At 50.3% G+C, this 14,788-nt stretch overlaps 1 protein-coding gene across 9 annotated transcripts in view, besides 7 other annotated features; it reads left to right on the top strand.

Annotated features, from left to right (window-relative positions):
• Positions 1-14,788, top strand: part of PHF21B (PHD finger protein 21B) — a 128,844-nt gene that overhangs the window by 47,255 nt on the left and 66,801 nt on the right. The window lies entirely within an intron of this gene.
• Positions 2,181-2,764: an enhancer, noted in NCBI's record as "H3K4me1 hESC enhancer chr22:45355867-45356450 (GRCh37/hg19 assembly coordinates)". NCBI's record gives its function as "activates a minimal SCP1, AML or CMV promoter by ChIP-STARR-seq in naive H9 embryonic stem cells {active_cell/tissue: H9 hESC(naive)}" and the evidence as "EXISTENCE:reporter gene assay evidence [ECO:0000049][PMID:30033119]".
• Positions 5,683-6,452: an enhancer, noted in NCBI's record as "H3K27ac-H3K4me1 hESC enhancer chr22:45352179-45352948 (GRCh37/hg19 assembly coordinates)". NCBI's record gives its function as "activates a minimal SCP1, AML or CMV promoter by ChIP-STARR-seq in naive H9 embryonic stem cells {active_cell/tissue: H9 hESC(naive)}" and the evidence as "EXISTENCE:reporter gene assay evidence [ECO:0000049][PMID:30033119]".
• Positions 7,376-7,615: an enhancer, noted in NCBI's record as "active region_19216". NCBI's record gives its function as "activates an Ori minimal core promoter by ATAC-STARR-seq in GM12878 lymphoblastoid cells {active_cell/tissue: GM12878}" and the evidence as "EXISTENCE:reporter gene assay evidence [ECO:0000049][PMID:35858748]".
• Positions 8,408-8,457: an enhancer, noted in NCBI's record as "active region_19215". NCBI's record gives its function as "activates an Ori minimal core promoter by ATAC-STARR-seq in GM12878 lymphoblastoid cells {active_cell/tissue: GM12878}" and the evidence as "EXISTENCE:reporter gene assay evidence [ECO:0000049][PMID:35858748]".
• Positions 8,518-8,567: an enhancer, noted in NCBI's record as "active region_19214". NCBI's record gives its function as "activates an Ori minimal core promoter by ATAC-STARR-seq in GM12878 lymphoblastoid cells {active_cell/tissue: GM12878}" and the evidence as "EXISTENCE:reporter gene assay evidence [ECO:0000049][PMID:35858748]".
• Positions 8,764-9,533: an enhancer, noted in NCBI's record as "OCT4-NANOG-H3K27ac-H3K4me1 hESC enhancer chr22:45349098-45349867 (GRCh37/hg19 assembly coordinates)". NCBI's record gives its function as "activates a minimal SCP1, AML or CMV promoter by ChIP-STARR-seq in naive H9 embryonic stem cells {active_cell/tissue: H9 hESC(naive)}" and the evidence as "EXISTENCE:reporter gene assay evidence [ECO:0000049][PMID:30033119]".
• Positions 9,534-10,304: an enhancer, noted in NCBI's record as "H3K27ac-H3K4me1 hESC enhancer chr22:45348327-45349097 (GRCh37/hg19 assembly coordinates)". NCBI's record gives its function as "activates a minimal SCP1, AML or CMV promoter by ChIP-STARR-seq in naive H9 embryonic stem cells {active_cell/tissue: H9 hESC(naive)}" and the evidence as "EXISTENCE:reporter gene assay evidence [ECO:0000049][PMID:30033119]".

Raw genomic sequence — 14,788 nt, 5'->3', positions numbered from 1 at the left:
TCCAGGCATGTGTCCATATAGTACCTGGTGTTCCCTCTGAGCAAGACGCTGGGTTATATGGGACCCAGCTTGTATTTGTCAGAGTTCCCCAGAGAAATACAGCCAGTAGGATGTGTGGTGTACAGATGGTCCCTGACTGATGATGGTTTCACTTACTACGCTTTTGTGACTCTATCATGGTGCAAAAGCAATACACGTTCAGTAGAAAACATACTTCGAATTTTGATCTTTTCCCAGGCTAGCACTATTCCATGTGATACTCACTTGCAATGCTAGGTAGCAGCTGTGAGCTGCAGCTCCCATCAGCCGTGCCAATGTTAGGTGTTCTGAGCACACTAAGTTAGGCTGGGCTAGGCTATGATGTTCAGCAGGCCAGGTGTGTTAAATGTATTTTCAACTTAGGATATTTTCAACTTACAGTGACTTTATTGGGATGTAACTTCATCGTAAGTTGAGGCACATCTACAGATCATTAAAAAGTTATGTGAGGCTGCAGAGAAAAGGGAATGCTTATACACTCTTGGTGGGAATGTAAATTAGTTCAGCCACCATGGAAGGCAGTTTGGAGATTTCTCAAAGAACTTAAAACAGAGCTATCATTCGACCCAGCAATCCCATTAACTGGGTATATATTGGAAAGAAAATACATCATTCTACCCAAAAGACACATGCACTTGTGTGTACATCTCAGCATTACTCACAATAGCAAAGACATGGAAACAACCTAACTGCCCATCAGTAGTGGATTGAATAAAGAAAATGTGGTACATATACACCATGGAATACTACACAGCCATAAAAAAAATAAAATAATGCCCTTTGCAACAACATGAATGCAGCTGGAGGTCATTATACTTATTTATTTATTTATTTATTTATTTATTTATTTATTTATTTATTTATTTTGAGACAGAGTCTCGCTCTGTCACCCAGGCTGGATTGCAGTGGTGCGCGCAACCTCGGCTCACTGCAACCTCTGCCATGCTGGTTCAAGCGATTTTCCTGTCTCTGCCTCTCGAATAGCTGGGATTACAGGGGTGCACCACCACGCCTGGCTTATTTTCATATTTTTAGTAGAGACTGGGTTTCACCATGTTGACCAGGCTGGTCTTGAACTCCTGACCTCAGGTGCTCTGCCCACGTAGGCCTCCCAAAGTGCTCGTATTATAGGCATGAGCCACCACGCCCAGCCTGTAGGCCATTATCCTAAGCAAATAGAGCAGGAACAGAAAACCAATTACCACGTTTTCACTTGGAAGTAAGAGCTAAACATTAGATTCACAGGGACATAAAGACGGCAACAGTGGATACTAGGGACTCCTAGAGCAGAGAGGGAAGGAGGGGAGCGAGGGTTGAAAACCTGTTGGGTACTGTGCTCACTACCTGGGTGACAGGATCAGTTGTACCCCATATCTGAGCATCACGAAGTATACCTATGTAACCTGCACCTGTACCCCCTGAATCTAAAATAAAAGTTGAAATTGTATAAAAAATCAGTCTGGGCACGGTGGCTCATGCCTGTAATCCCAGCACTTTGGGAGGCTGAGGCAGGTGGATCACGAGGTCAAGAGATTGAGACCATCCTGGCCAACCTGGTGAAACCCCATCTCTACTAAAAATACAAAAATGAGCCGGGTGTGGTGGCGCGTACCTGTAATCCCAGCTACTCGGGAGGCTGAGGCATGAGAATCGCTTGAACCAGGGAGTCAGAAGTTGCAGTGAGCCGAGATCGCGCCACTGCACTCCAGCCTGGGTGACAGAATGAGACTCCTTCTCAAAAAAAAAAAAAAAAAATCAACTCACGTGATTTTGAAGGGACAGATCCTCAAGTCCCAGGATCTGCAGTGGGCAAGCTGGAGACCCTGAAGAGTCGATGCTGTAAGTTCCAGTCCAAAAGGAGGCTGGAGACCTGAGAAAGGCTGATGCATCAGTTTGCGTCCAAAGGCAAGAAAACCCTGGTGTCCAGGCTGAGTGCAGGCAGACAGCAGGACTTCTCTTACTGAGACAGTTTGCTCTGTTCAGGCCTCCGGCTGGTTGGATGAGACCCTCATTCACTGGTGAGGGCCACCTGCTTTACTCAGGCCACTAATTCAGATGTGAGTCTCATCCAGAAACATCCTCACAGACACACCAAAGTAATGCTTGCCCAGATGTCTGTGTACCCCATGGTCCAGTCCAGTTGACACAGTGACTATCACACAGCTCTTGGGGAAGACAGACATGGGAAGAACCAGCAGCCCAGGTCACCCATGGCCCCTTAATATGGGTGCAGACAGCAGTGACTTCCAGCCAGTGGAGGGTTGGGCGACGACCTGGGGAGCAGGTGACCATAGTCGTTGAGGGACAGGAGTGGGGGGCTTTGCCTGGTGCTGCCGGACTGCAGTGTCGACCCAGAATTTTCTCATTTTTCGGGCAGTGAAGGAAAAAAGAGATAATTGTCTTGATGTCATCTGACACCGAACTCAGGTAGCTGTGGAGGGAAGGGGGCGTCTCTGCAGAGCCAAGACAACTGAAGATCAGCAGGAAATGGAAAAATGGATCCAGCCTTGGGTCCCGTGGCTTGTGGAGGCCTCAGCGTCCAGGGGTTTCCTGGGATGGTTGTCTTTTCAGGCGGATGTTTACTTAGCATCTACTGGGTGCCAGGCCTTGTGTGAAGCATTTCGTGTGCAGTGAGGAATGCTCAGGTTTCAGCCATTAGAGAGGGTTGCAGGACTAGAGACACGTCCGGTGCTGAGGTCACACAGCGGAGGGCCCGCTCTCTGGGGTGGAGACTGGCCCTGCTCAGAGCGCTTCCTGGAGGCGCTGCCCTGACTTCTCACAAGCTGGCCAGGCTTACTTTTGCTGCCTCACGTTTGGCTCAGCCCCTGCCCTTGCTGTTGCTCTGGTTGGGTCCTGTGCTTGCATCTCCTGAACTCCTGGGCTTCTTTCATAACTCTGGTCTCAACTGAAGCCATTTCATCTCCTGGGATATCTTCCCTCCTGTTCCCCTGGTGGTCATCTCTTTACTGTTTTCAGTGATCAGCTCCTCCATGAAGACTTTTCCCGTGGGTAGCACTGGCTCCCTCTCATTGATGCTTCTGCTGTGCCCAGCTCAGACATCCTCTGCAGCACCGGGACCACCTGGGTGCATCTTGAATGACCTGCCAGTCTTCCCCATCACTGGCTTCCTCTCCGTGGTAGGAGCAGAGACAGACTGGTCTCCAGGTCAGAGCCGGGGCAGCCAGGTGTGAATGAAACCTGCTGAGCACAAACACTTTTCTTGGGGCCTTGAGAGAGCACTTGGCTAGAACTGGTGTCTACTGTCCACTTGGACCAGTTAGAAAGGAGGAGGAAGGACCCAGGCAGGGGACAGACAGCAGGAGCAAAGGCCCACACAAGAGCAAGGCACAAAGAGGCCCAGAAATGTGATAAGTCCCGTAGTTAAGGCGTGAATCACAAAGTGGAGAGTATGAGAAGATGGGTCGGGGCAAAATGTCATCATTCTCTAGAAGACATTTGTTATTCAGCATCACCAACACACCAGGCCCTCCAGAAGGCATGCGAGCCTCGTCCTGAGATGGGAGCAGATCATCAGCAGTCTCAGGACATGCCAGGGGAGCTTCCAACAAGGAAGAGACCAAAACAGAAACCGGATCTGAGAGGGAGAGGAGGCCATGCAGGAAGCAGAAGAAGGCTTCCAAAACTGTCTCATCCTCCGAGAAATCAGGCAGTATACCATCTGAATCAGAACAGGCGCTCCAGCGGGGCCGGCCATGGAACCAGCAGGAGACATTGGAAATGTAGATTGCGCAGTTAAATGATCAAAGGAGGGGCCGGGTGCGGTGGCTCACACCTGTAACCCCAGCACTTTGGGAGGCCAAGGTGGGCAGATCACCAGAGGTCAGGAGTTCAAGACCAGCCTAGCCAACATGGTGAAACCCCGTCTCTACAAAATACAAAAACCCTGTCTCTACAAAATACAAAAATAAAAATAAAAAATTAGCCAGGTGTGGTGGCAGGCGCCTGTAATTCCAGCTACTCAAGAGGCTGAGGCAGGAGAGTCACTTGAACCCAGGAGGCGGAGGTTGCTGTGAGCCAAGATCATGCCACTGCACTCCAGCATGGGTGACAGAGTAAGACTCCATCTCAAAAAAAAAAAAAAAAAAAAAAAAATCAAAGGAAGGCTGGAAGATGAAGCTGAGGAGATCTCTCAAAGAGTAGAATAGGACGCTAATGGAATGGGACTAGGTGAGAGAAGTTGAGAAAATTGGAAAATCTCTAACTAAGGAGTTTCAGATAAAACAGGGGTATTGGCAGAGAGAACCATATGGATGCAATGTGCACATTCCTAATCGAAGGACACAGGCCTCCGGGTTGAGAAAGCTCTCGGAGTTCTCAGCACAACTAACAGGAAAAGGTCCACACTGCAGTGCACACCATGAAATTCCAGAGCACAGGGTTTCAGCAGACCCCGACTAGACCCTCACTGTGTAGGGAGAGAGTCAGGGAGGCAGCAGGCCCGGATGCCAGAAGCCAGCAGAGTCGTGCACTCAAAATGCCCAGGGATGGGGGCTGTCGTGGTGGCTCACACCTGTAATCCCAGCACTTTGGGAGGCCAAGGTGGGCAGATCACCTGAGGTCGGGAGTTCGAGACCAGCCTGACCAAATGGAGAAACCCCGTCTCTATTAAAAATACAAAAAGTTAGCCAGGCATGATAGCACATGCCTGTAATCCTAGCTACTCGGGAGGCAGAGGCAGGAGAATCGCTTGAACCTGGGAGGTGGAGGTTGTGGTGAGCCGAGATCGCGCCATTGCACTCCAGCCTGGGCAACAAGAGCGAAACTCCATCTCAAAAAAAAAAAAAAAATGTCCAGTGGTGATCAGGTCCAGCTAGAGTTCTGCTTTTAGACACACAAGGCCTGAACGGGTTTAGAATGCTTATTTCATGCGTCGCCTTTCTCAGAAAGATACTGGGTGAGGCATTCTACTGAAATAAAGGAATTAAGCCCAGAAAAACAGCAGATCTAAATTCAGGAGAGGGGGCCCCAGCAGCCTGGAGAGAAACCTATTTAGGTTAGCAACAGGGAACTGATGCCTGGTGTGTTTGCACAGGAAAGGGTTTTATAATTCTATCAGGGAACTTAGGAAAAATTAGCAGGAGGAACCCAGAACGCCAAACAAATGGGAACTCAAGGCAGGAGAAAAAAAGCAGCGGTAGAAGAAAGAGAGGGCTGACTATTGATTCTGTGCATACGTTATTTAAATACACATAAAATGGATTTGAGAACTCCCTCTGGAGGCAGCATGAGGACGGACAGTGGCAAGCCCCAGAGGAAGGCTGTGAGGGGCCCGCATGCCAGCCCTGTGCGGCAGCCCAGGTCTCTCTCACTCCTTCTACAGTCAGTTCAGGAATTTGCTTTGTACCTTCAGAGGGTTTTTCATGCAAAGGATCAGGGAAAAAACCGAAACAACTTTTTCCAGAAGAGCTAATTGTTGTAAAGTGCACCGTCCGGTGCCTGACCCTCTGAGGCTGGGTGAGCACTGTGCAACTGTGTTCTCAGCCTGGCTTTCAGAGACTGCAGTCCCCTGCAGAGGCTGTGGGTCCACAGCCAGGGAGGCCACAGGTACAGAAGAATGCGCAGGACGAGGCAGCTGTGAGCTCAGAGGGAGGAGGGAGGGGGCGGTGCTGAGGTGGAGGTGGCCATTGGACTGCCGTGTGGGCAGTGACCTCTGGGTACAGCTCCCACCACCAGCAGGAGGGCTGGGACGAGGATGGAGCCCAGGACTGAGGCGTGACGGCTGCCTCCTCTTTCCCTGTGGTTGGTGAGTGGATGTGGCCATTGTCTCTCTTCACTCGGTTGGCTCCTGAATGCTGCAGGCCCAGCCCTGAGCATCTGGGGTACAGCTTTGATGAGAAGGGAGGGAGGTCGGAGGAGGAGGGAGAGCCCACCGCGTGGAGGGGCCTCTGTCCCTTAGCCCAAGTTTTCTGTTTCCAAAGTGGATTCCAGAAACAGAAAGCACTGCCTTGGGTGGGCCCAGCAAGAGGTCCCCTGGGCCTTTCCGGTGGTCAGGCCTCATGGTCCCACTGGCCTTGGGCTTCAGACCTCCTGGGGTCGCTTGTGGAGGGTCCCTCGAGGTCTCCCTGGGCAGCAGCCGCCTCGTGAAGGAAGCTCGGCAGCTCTGCAGTCCCATAATGTGTGATAAATCCCAGTATTTCTGCCATTAAACGATATTGTCACAAGGGCTAAATTGCCACCTGCAATGAGTAAATTAAATATTGACGATTTCATTGACTGTTAGATTTAATTTGGAGCCATCTTGCTGGGGCCCTAATGGGGCTGCAGATGACTTACTGTTTAATCCAGGCTGTCACCCCGTTAAGTGTTGAGTAATGAGGAAAAGATACACTCGTCAGGGTAAGAAAGTACTGATTCTCGGGCCCCTGGGTCGGGCCTCTGCCTCATAGACTGGGTGCCCTAGCATTGGGGCGGCTCTCCAAATAGCCTTCCTCTTCCTGCTCAGCTTCTCCCCCAGGCAAAATCCCCCTCCCCAGGGAGCCTCCTCCCTTGGTTCCCCTGTATCTCCAACCCATTGAGTCCAGCCTGGTGGGACGTTGCTTGTGCAGAGCACACAGAGCATCTCCCCTGTGCTCCCACCGCTGTGTCGTCAAGCTGGAGGGCTCAGTCCCCTTCCTCGCGGGCTGATGGCTGGACGTTGTGGGGTGGGAGGAGACAGTTGTGTTGTTCATCGCTGTGCCCAGGACAAAGCACCGTGCCTCCCTGTCGTGGGCCAGGGCTCATATAGAACTGCCAGGGAAGTGCGTGCCCTCAGCCTCACCACTCTCCTCATCTGTAATATGACGGAAGCGTCTTTGAGTGCTGACCATGGCCCGACTCAATTCTAAGCACCCACATCAGTCAGGGCTCGCCAGAGAGCAGAACCAATGGGATACAGATGGGGATGCATACGGGGATTGATCTGGGGAACCAGCTCCTGCAATGGTGGAGGCTGAGAAGTCCCGTGATCCACCACCTGGAAACTGGAGACTCTGGAACGCCGGTGCTGTCATTCAGTCCAAATCTAAGGCCTGAGGGTCTGGTGGGTAAGTCCCAGAGTCTGAAGGCCTGGGGACCAGGAGCTCTGAGGCCTGAGAGCAGGAGAAGGAGGATCTCCCCGCTCAGGAAGAGAGAAGCCACCCTTCCCCGCCTTTTTGTTCTATCTGGGCCCTCAGTGGATTGGTGGATGCCCACCCGAATTGGTGGCGCGGATTCTCTTTGCTGGGTCTACCTACCCATATGCTGATCTCTTCCAGAAACGCCCTCACAGACACACCCAGAAAGCATACTTACCAGCTGTGTGGCACCCCTTAGCCAGGTCAGGCTGCCGTGTGAAATTAACCGTCACAGGACCGTGAGTGCATCTTCTCACTTTGAGGTCACAACACCCCTGTGAGCACAGGTGGTGTTTACCCAGATGAGGAGGCTGAAGCCCAGAGAGGCTCAGGGGGCTTTCCAAGGTCACACAGCTGTGGAGTGGTGCTGTGTGCTCCTCCCAGGCGCTGTGCTGGCTCTTGTCTGCAAGTGGGGCTGGTGGTGTTGCTGTGGAGCCTCCTCCGAGGCCAGGACTCTGGGAGACACAGCATGACCGCTGACTTCTTCTTAACCGGCCATTCCCACCCTCTGCCCCCTCAGGCTGGACGCAGCTGCACCGCTGGACAGTGATCCCTAGTGTGGTTGCTCTGGGCTTTGCTTGATCATGGCTTCTGGGCTGGAAGCTCCACCCCGCCTGCCACCCCGAGGTCCTGTTGTCCCCGCCTGCTCCCAACATCACCCGTCCTGCCTTCTCTGTCCCATTCCTTCTCCCTGGAGGACTGTCCTCTGTGCCACCTGGCAAGATTTGCCTCTTCCTTCAAAGCCCGACTTCGGAGGCCTGCCCAGAGCCTGTCTTCCAGCGGGGCCAGACCACTCCTCGGTTAAATTCCTGGGAGCGTGGGGTGGGAAGGACTCAGGTGCATCAAGCCCGGTCTCTACAAACACAATACGCTCGGTGCCTAGAGATGGATGTTGGTGCCTTTGGTTAAAGGATGGTTTTGTGATGTGAATAATTACTGCTTGGTGAATCTGTAGACCTGAATTGCTCAAGAGAGGCCAGATGGTTTTATTTAGAGAAGCAGGTAAAATGGGATGGAAGATGGTAAAATGCAGACAGGGCTTCATGCAGAAACGCTTTGTGTGTTGCACACGCTGGCTCGGCTAGTGCCGGGTCCAGCTGCTAGGGTGGAGCAGCTGGACCATCAGAGCCGGCTGTTTCTTCATTCACTGTAGCTGTTTATGGAATGAATTCCTCAGATGTGGCATTGGGCACCAGGTAGGGAGAGAGGAATCTGGCAAGATCCAGATCCAAGATCCCTGAGCGTGAGAGGGCCTGGAGGAAGGGCAGCCTGCGTGTCCTGCGCTGGGTCCCCAAAGAGGGAGGGAGTGATGTGTCCCAGTAACCACAGATTCTTTCAGAAGGCTGGAAAGTACCAGATAAGCACTGGGTGCTTGCAAAAGTATTTTCCAAGGGGATTTTTTTTTTAACAACAAGAAAGAAACGAAACGTACAATGCATTAATAAGAAAAGGACCTTAGCAGTGCTATTTCCTGTAGCTGCATCAGCTGGTAGCTTTCCTTCCCCGTAAACCTGGATCCTCTCAGGGCCAGAGGAATCACGGTGGGCCACACCCCACTGGGGGTCTGCTCTGAGCCGGGAGAGGCTCCTTAGGAAGAGCCCGGTGGGGTGGTGGTTCAGGCCAAGGGCACGCTGAGCTGCCTTTCAGGGCCGAGCCTGGCTTCACCTCTCCTGGCGGGGTGGGCTTGGGCAAGTTGCTTCACTGTTCTGTGCCTCAGTTGGCACAGCTGTTGGATGGGCATGATCATGCCTTTACATAGAGTTGTTTTGAGGATTAATTAATGCTTAAAATAGTATTTAGTGCCTAAAAATCCATAAGATGTTAGGTATTATTTTATAAGCCATGCTTGCTTGTGATACTAATGGGTGCATTTGGGTCTGACAAAGTCCAATGCATTCTTCAAAATTCTGCTCACCCACACACCTGGAAGCTGCAGGTCTCAGGAAGGAGGGCTGGGGCCTCCCCTGGGGAATCTCCATTTTAGCAGGAAGCTCCCTCTCCAGTCCCCCACTGAGACACATTAGCAGAGAAAACATTTAGAGGAGTTCACAGCGTTGAAAGATCCACTCTGGGGCTGCAAGCAGAGATGGTGTTGCAAGCAGAGAAGCTAATTAATAAATTAGAGCAGGAAAAATAAAACGAAAGGGAACGTGGAAAATTAGCGGTGATCACACCACAAAAGCCCGATGGAACCTGTGGCTGGTTGGTTTGCATAAGACTTGCAGGGAGGGGTAGGGAGGGGCACTCACGGGAGCTTCAAAGACAGGAATTGCTGTGAGTTCTAATTTCCAGTGTGATGCGTCAAATGGGTTGAGTTTCTGCTTAAAACAAACTGGGAAATTGTACCCCAACTCGCTAGTGCATCCTGCCCAGGGCTTGGGAGTCAGACCTGTGAGAGCCATTTCTGCCCCAGCTGCGGGCCTCAGTGTCCGAGAGAAGAGTCCTGTGGGGACCTTCTCCTTCTGGCTCAGTGTTCATGGGCACCCTGGGCCTCAGAGAGAGGAAGGGGCTGCTCAGGACTGAAGCCATCGTAGCAGTTGGGATCCTGATGCCTGGCCCACCCCAGCCCACTTCTGTCCCCCTGGCTGCTATAGAAGAGACCCAGGGGTCTGCGGAATGGGGAGGAGCTAGGTCAGCAGGGCACAGGGCAGCCCAGCACACAGGGCTCAGCAGTCCCGAGGGCAACCGAGGGCTAGGAGGGTGCCCGACACAGGGGCTGAATCCTGCCTTTTGTCCTGAGAGCTCTCTGTCACTGAGAATCTGCGCCTAGCACCCCATTCACGTCACTGAGGGCTGCCAGGGTCTCTGAACCTCTGGGGTTATTTAGAGGAGGCTCATAATTATAGCTCTTCAAAAATGATAGAATCTTGGAATCAGACTCTTATACTCTTCTCTTTTTCAACTGTAAACATATTCATCATAGGAGATGTGGAAAGTATCGTAAAGGATAAAGTAATAGAAAAACAGAAATTTATCATATTCTCCATGAGAGGCAGTCACCGTTAGTGATTAGATGTAATTCCCATCAGTTGAAAGCCCAAAAATGCTGGGCATCGTTCAGTCCACTTGGAACTTGACTTTTTCTTCGGTTCTGCCTCCCTGTGCTCCCTCCACCCCCAGGATAGACGGGAACCTTTTCCCATGTCAAAACTGTTTTCAATGACCATATGCCATTTTGTTGTGGAAACATGCCACAGTGAACTGAACAGTTTCTCTCACGTTGCATGCATGTTGGTTCTATTTTATTTTCTTTTTTGAGACAAAGTTTCGCTCTTGTTGCCCAGGCCAGAGTACACTGGTGCGATCTCGGCTCACTGCAACCTCCGACTCTCGAGTTCAAGCGATTCTCCTGCCTCAGCCTCCAAAGTAGCTGGGATTATAGGCGTCTGCCACCACGCCTAGCTAGTTTTTGTTTTTTTAATAGAGACGAGGTTTCACCGTGTTGGCCAGGCTAGTCTGGAACTCCTGACCTCAGGTGATATACCTGCCTTGGCCTCCATAGGTGCTGGGATTACAGGTGTGAGCCACCGTACCCAGCCAGTTCTGTTTTCTTAATTGTATACATAACACGCAGTGAGCACCATCACAGAGAAGTTTAACCACAGATCTGAGAATCATGGAATCATTTCATCATAACCACTGTTACTCGGAATCTTTATTTCACTCTTGTTCACCACCTCTTTCCAAAAGAAATTTGAGGTAATAAAGGACAAAAGGCAAGGAAAAGTGAGATGGGAAATGCACAAAGCTAACAGTCCACTAAAGCTAAACCTGCACCTATCCCATGATCTAGGAGTTCCACTCCTGGGTGCAGACCCAAAAAAATGAGTGCCTGACTCACCAAAAAAAAGGTGTTCAGCATTAGCCATTCTTTATGATAATCCAAACTGGAAACAACCCAAATGCCAGTCAGCAGTACACTGGAGATGTAGATTGTGGTCCATTCACAGAGGGGAATACTATGCAGCAATGAAAAAGGACATCTGGCTACAACAGCTTTCATGCATCTCACAGGTGTTAATGTTGGGCAAATGCATCAAGACCCAAAGAGTGCAAACTGTGTGATCCCTTTTATGTAAAGCAGGGATTCCCATCTCCCGGGCCATGGACTGGTACTGGTCTGTGGCCTGTTAGGAACTGGGGCTCACAGCAGGAGGTGAGGAGTGGGTGAGTGAGCAAAGCTTCATCTGTATTTACAGCCGCTCCCCATTGCTCGCATTACCCCGAGTTCCGCCTCCTGTCAGATTAGCAGCAGCATTCGATTTTCATAGGAACACGAACCCTATTGTGAACTCTGCATGCAAGGGATCTAGGCTGTGCACTCCTTATGAGAATCTAATGCCCGATGATCTGCGGTGGAGCTGAGGCGGTGATGCTGGCACTGGAGCACGGCTGCAAATACAGATAAGCATTAGCAGAGAGGTTTGACTGCACAGAGACCATAGTAAGTCAGTTGCTTGCAGACTCATATCAAAACCATATCTGTGAGTGGCGGGTGCTTAAGCTGCATCTGGTGGCAGGCTTTATAGTGGCAAGTGAGTTGATGTACTTCAGTTGTACCGCTGCGTCTGGCGGCAGGCTTTACGTCAGAACCTGATGCTTATTTTAGGCTGCGTGTGGCCCGCCTGTGATGTTACTTACCACTTCTGTCCATGCCTCTTTCCCACACTCAGCACGTGTCTCAGTCACAGTTTGGGTAAGTCCACCGGCTAACCCTAGCCAGAATGAGTAAGAAAAAAATCAAGCGTCTCTGGAGAGCTTCTTTGAAAAGGGGGAAAGGCCCAATGGTGAAACAGCAGAAGACTCAAAGAAAGTTGCATTTAAAAGGAAACAGCAAGAGCCCTGCTTCAATTATGGATTCATTGCAACAAGTGATTCATATTCCCCAAGCCCTCTTTGCATAATATGTGACCACTGGCTATCCAGTGAAGCCGTAAAACCTTCAAAACCGCTTCGCCACATGGAGACCAAGCACCTTGCATTAAAAGACAAACCTTTAGAGTTTTTCAAAAGAAAAAAAAAAACACGAACACGAAGAACAGAAGCAATGATTGAAGGCCACCACTTAGTTGACTGTGTCTGCACTGAGAGCGTCACTCTTAGTGTCTAACCGCATTGCTAAAGCTAGGAATCCCTTTACTGTTGGTGGAGTTGATCCTGCCTGCTGCTGCTAAGGACATCTGTCGTGAACTTTTGAGAGAGACTGCAGTTGAAAGGGTAGCACGTATTCCTCTTTTGGCTAGCACCATAACTAGATGAATTGATGAAACGACAGAGGGTATTGAGGCACAATTGTTAGAGGGGATTAATGAGTCACTGCGGTACGCAACCCAGGGTTGACGAGTCTACCGATGTTGAAAACAAGGCAACAATGCTTGTTTTTGTGCATATATGTTCAGGAGGATGTGCATGAGGATGTGTTATGTGTGCTTCTGTTGCCAACCCACACCACAGCTGGTATTCACGTCTTTGATTACATATCAGGAAAGGTGAATTGATCACTTTATGTTGGTCTGTGCATGGACGGAGAGACTGCCATGGCTGGACGGCTTTCTGGTTTCATTACTCAGGTCAAAGAGGTCACTTCTGAATGTGAGTCCACACGCTGTGTCATCCATGGAGAAATGCCGGCCAGCCAAAAAATGTTGCCTGAACTTAACAGCGTTTTGGAAGCTGTGATTAAAATGATCAGTCACGTTAAAGTACATGGGCTTTAACTCACATCTGTTCTTGCAGCGGTGCCGAAAAAATCACCTGAACTTAAGAACGTTTTGCAGGATGTGATTGAAATGATCAGCCACAGCAAAGTGCATGCCTTTAACTCACGAGGTCTGTTCTCGCGGCTCTGTGAGGAGATGGACGCGGTACACACACGTCTTCTCTGATACACAGAAGTGAGATGCTTTCCAAAGGTAGATCACTGGCCAGAGTTTCTGAGTTATGAGAGCTGCTCCAGAGATTTCTTTTAGAAAAATAGTCCCCACTAGCAGCATATTTCAGTGACATAGGATGAGTCGCAAAACTTGCTGACTTGTGCGACGTATTCAACCTGCTCAACAAACTCAATCTGTCACTTCAGGGAAGAATGACAACTGTGTTCAAGTCGGCAGATAAAGTGGCTGCATTCAAAGCCAAATTGGAATTATGGGGGTGACGAGGGAACACTGGGATTTTTGACATGTTTCAAACATTAGCAGAGATTTTGAAAGAGATAGAGCCAGGGCCTTCCCTCTTCCAGCTGGTGCATGATCACCTACCTCAGCTCTCTTTTTTCTTTTTTTTTTTTTTTCTTTTTTTTGAGATGGAGTTTCGCTCTTGTTACCCAGGCTGAAGTGCAATGGCACGATCTTGGCTCACCGCAACCTCCGCCTCCCAGGTTCAAGCAGTTCTCCTGCCTCAGCCTCCCAAGTATCTGGGATTACAGGCATGCGCCACTACACCCAACTAATTTTGTATTTTTAGTAGAGACGGGGTTTCTCCATGTTGGTCAGGCTGGTACTGAACTCCTGACCTCAGGTGATCTGCTGCCTCCACCTCCCAAAGTGCTGGGATTACAGGCGTGAGCCACCGCGCCCGGCCCCTACCTCAGCTTTCAAAAGAGCTTGAGCGTTACTTCCCAACCACCAAAGAACCCCAAACTGGGAAGGAATGGATCTGTGACCCATTTGTGGATAAGCCACGCGAATCACCTTTGTCTGTGCTAGAAGAGGATCAACTGCTTGAGACTGCAAATGACAGTGGCCCTAAAAGTGTGTTTGAGACAACTTCAAATCTCCATATGTTCTGGATAAAAGTCAAAGTGGAATATCCTGAGATTGCCACGTGAGCACTGAAAAGCCTGCTTCCATGTCCAGCATCCTGTCTTTGTGAAGCCGGGTTTTCTCTGTCTCTCTTTTTTTTTTTTTTTTCCAGACAGAGTCTCACTCTGTCACCCATGCTGGAGTGCAGTGGCACAGTCTCGGCTCACTGCCACCTCTGCCTCCCGGGTTCGAGCGATTCTTGTGCCTCAGCCTCCCAAGTATCTGGGACTACAGTTCTGCACCACCACACCTAGCTAAATGTTTTTTTTTATTTTATTTTTAGTAGAGATGGATTTTGCCGTGTTGGCTAGGCTAGTCTCAAACTCCCGACATCAGATGATCTGCCCGCCTCGGCCTCCCAGAGTGCCGGGATTACAGGCATGAGCCACTGCGCCCAGCCTGAAGCAGAGTTTTCTGCAGTGACAGCAACCAAAACGAGATGATGGAGTAGACTGGACATAAGCAACACATTTAGGGTGTCACTGTCCCCATCACCCACCCGCAGATGGGACTGTCTAGTTGCAGGAAAACAAGCTCAGATTTCCCACTTATGCTATGTTATGGTGAGTCGTGTAATTATTTCATTATCTATTACAATGTAATAATAACAGAAATAAACTACACAATAAATGTAATGTGCTTGAATCATCCCAAAACCATCTCCCTCCCAGGTCCGTGGAAAAACCATCTTCCACGGAGCTGGTCTCTGTGCCAAAAAGGTTGGAGACCACTGATGTAAGGTACAAAACAGGCAGCATCACGTCCGAACGGGACAGCAGTGGGGAGGAGGGACAACAGCGGGGAGGAGGGACAACAGCGGGGAGGAGGCTCTGGCGC

This window comes from Homo sapiens, chromosome 22 (assembly GCF_000001405.40).
Source record: "Homo sapiens chromosome 22, GRCh38.p14 Primary Assembly".
Taxonomy (NCBI): domain Eukaryota; kingdom Metazoa; phylum Chordata; class Mammalia; order Primates; family Hominidae; genus Homo; species Homo sapiens.
This window is presented reverse-complemented; position numbering and strand designations above follow the sequence as displayed.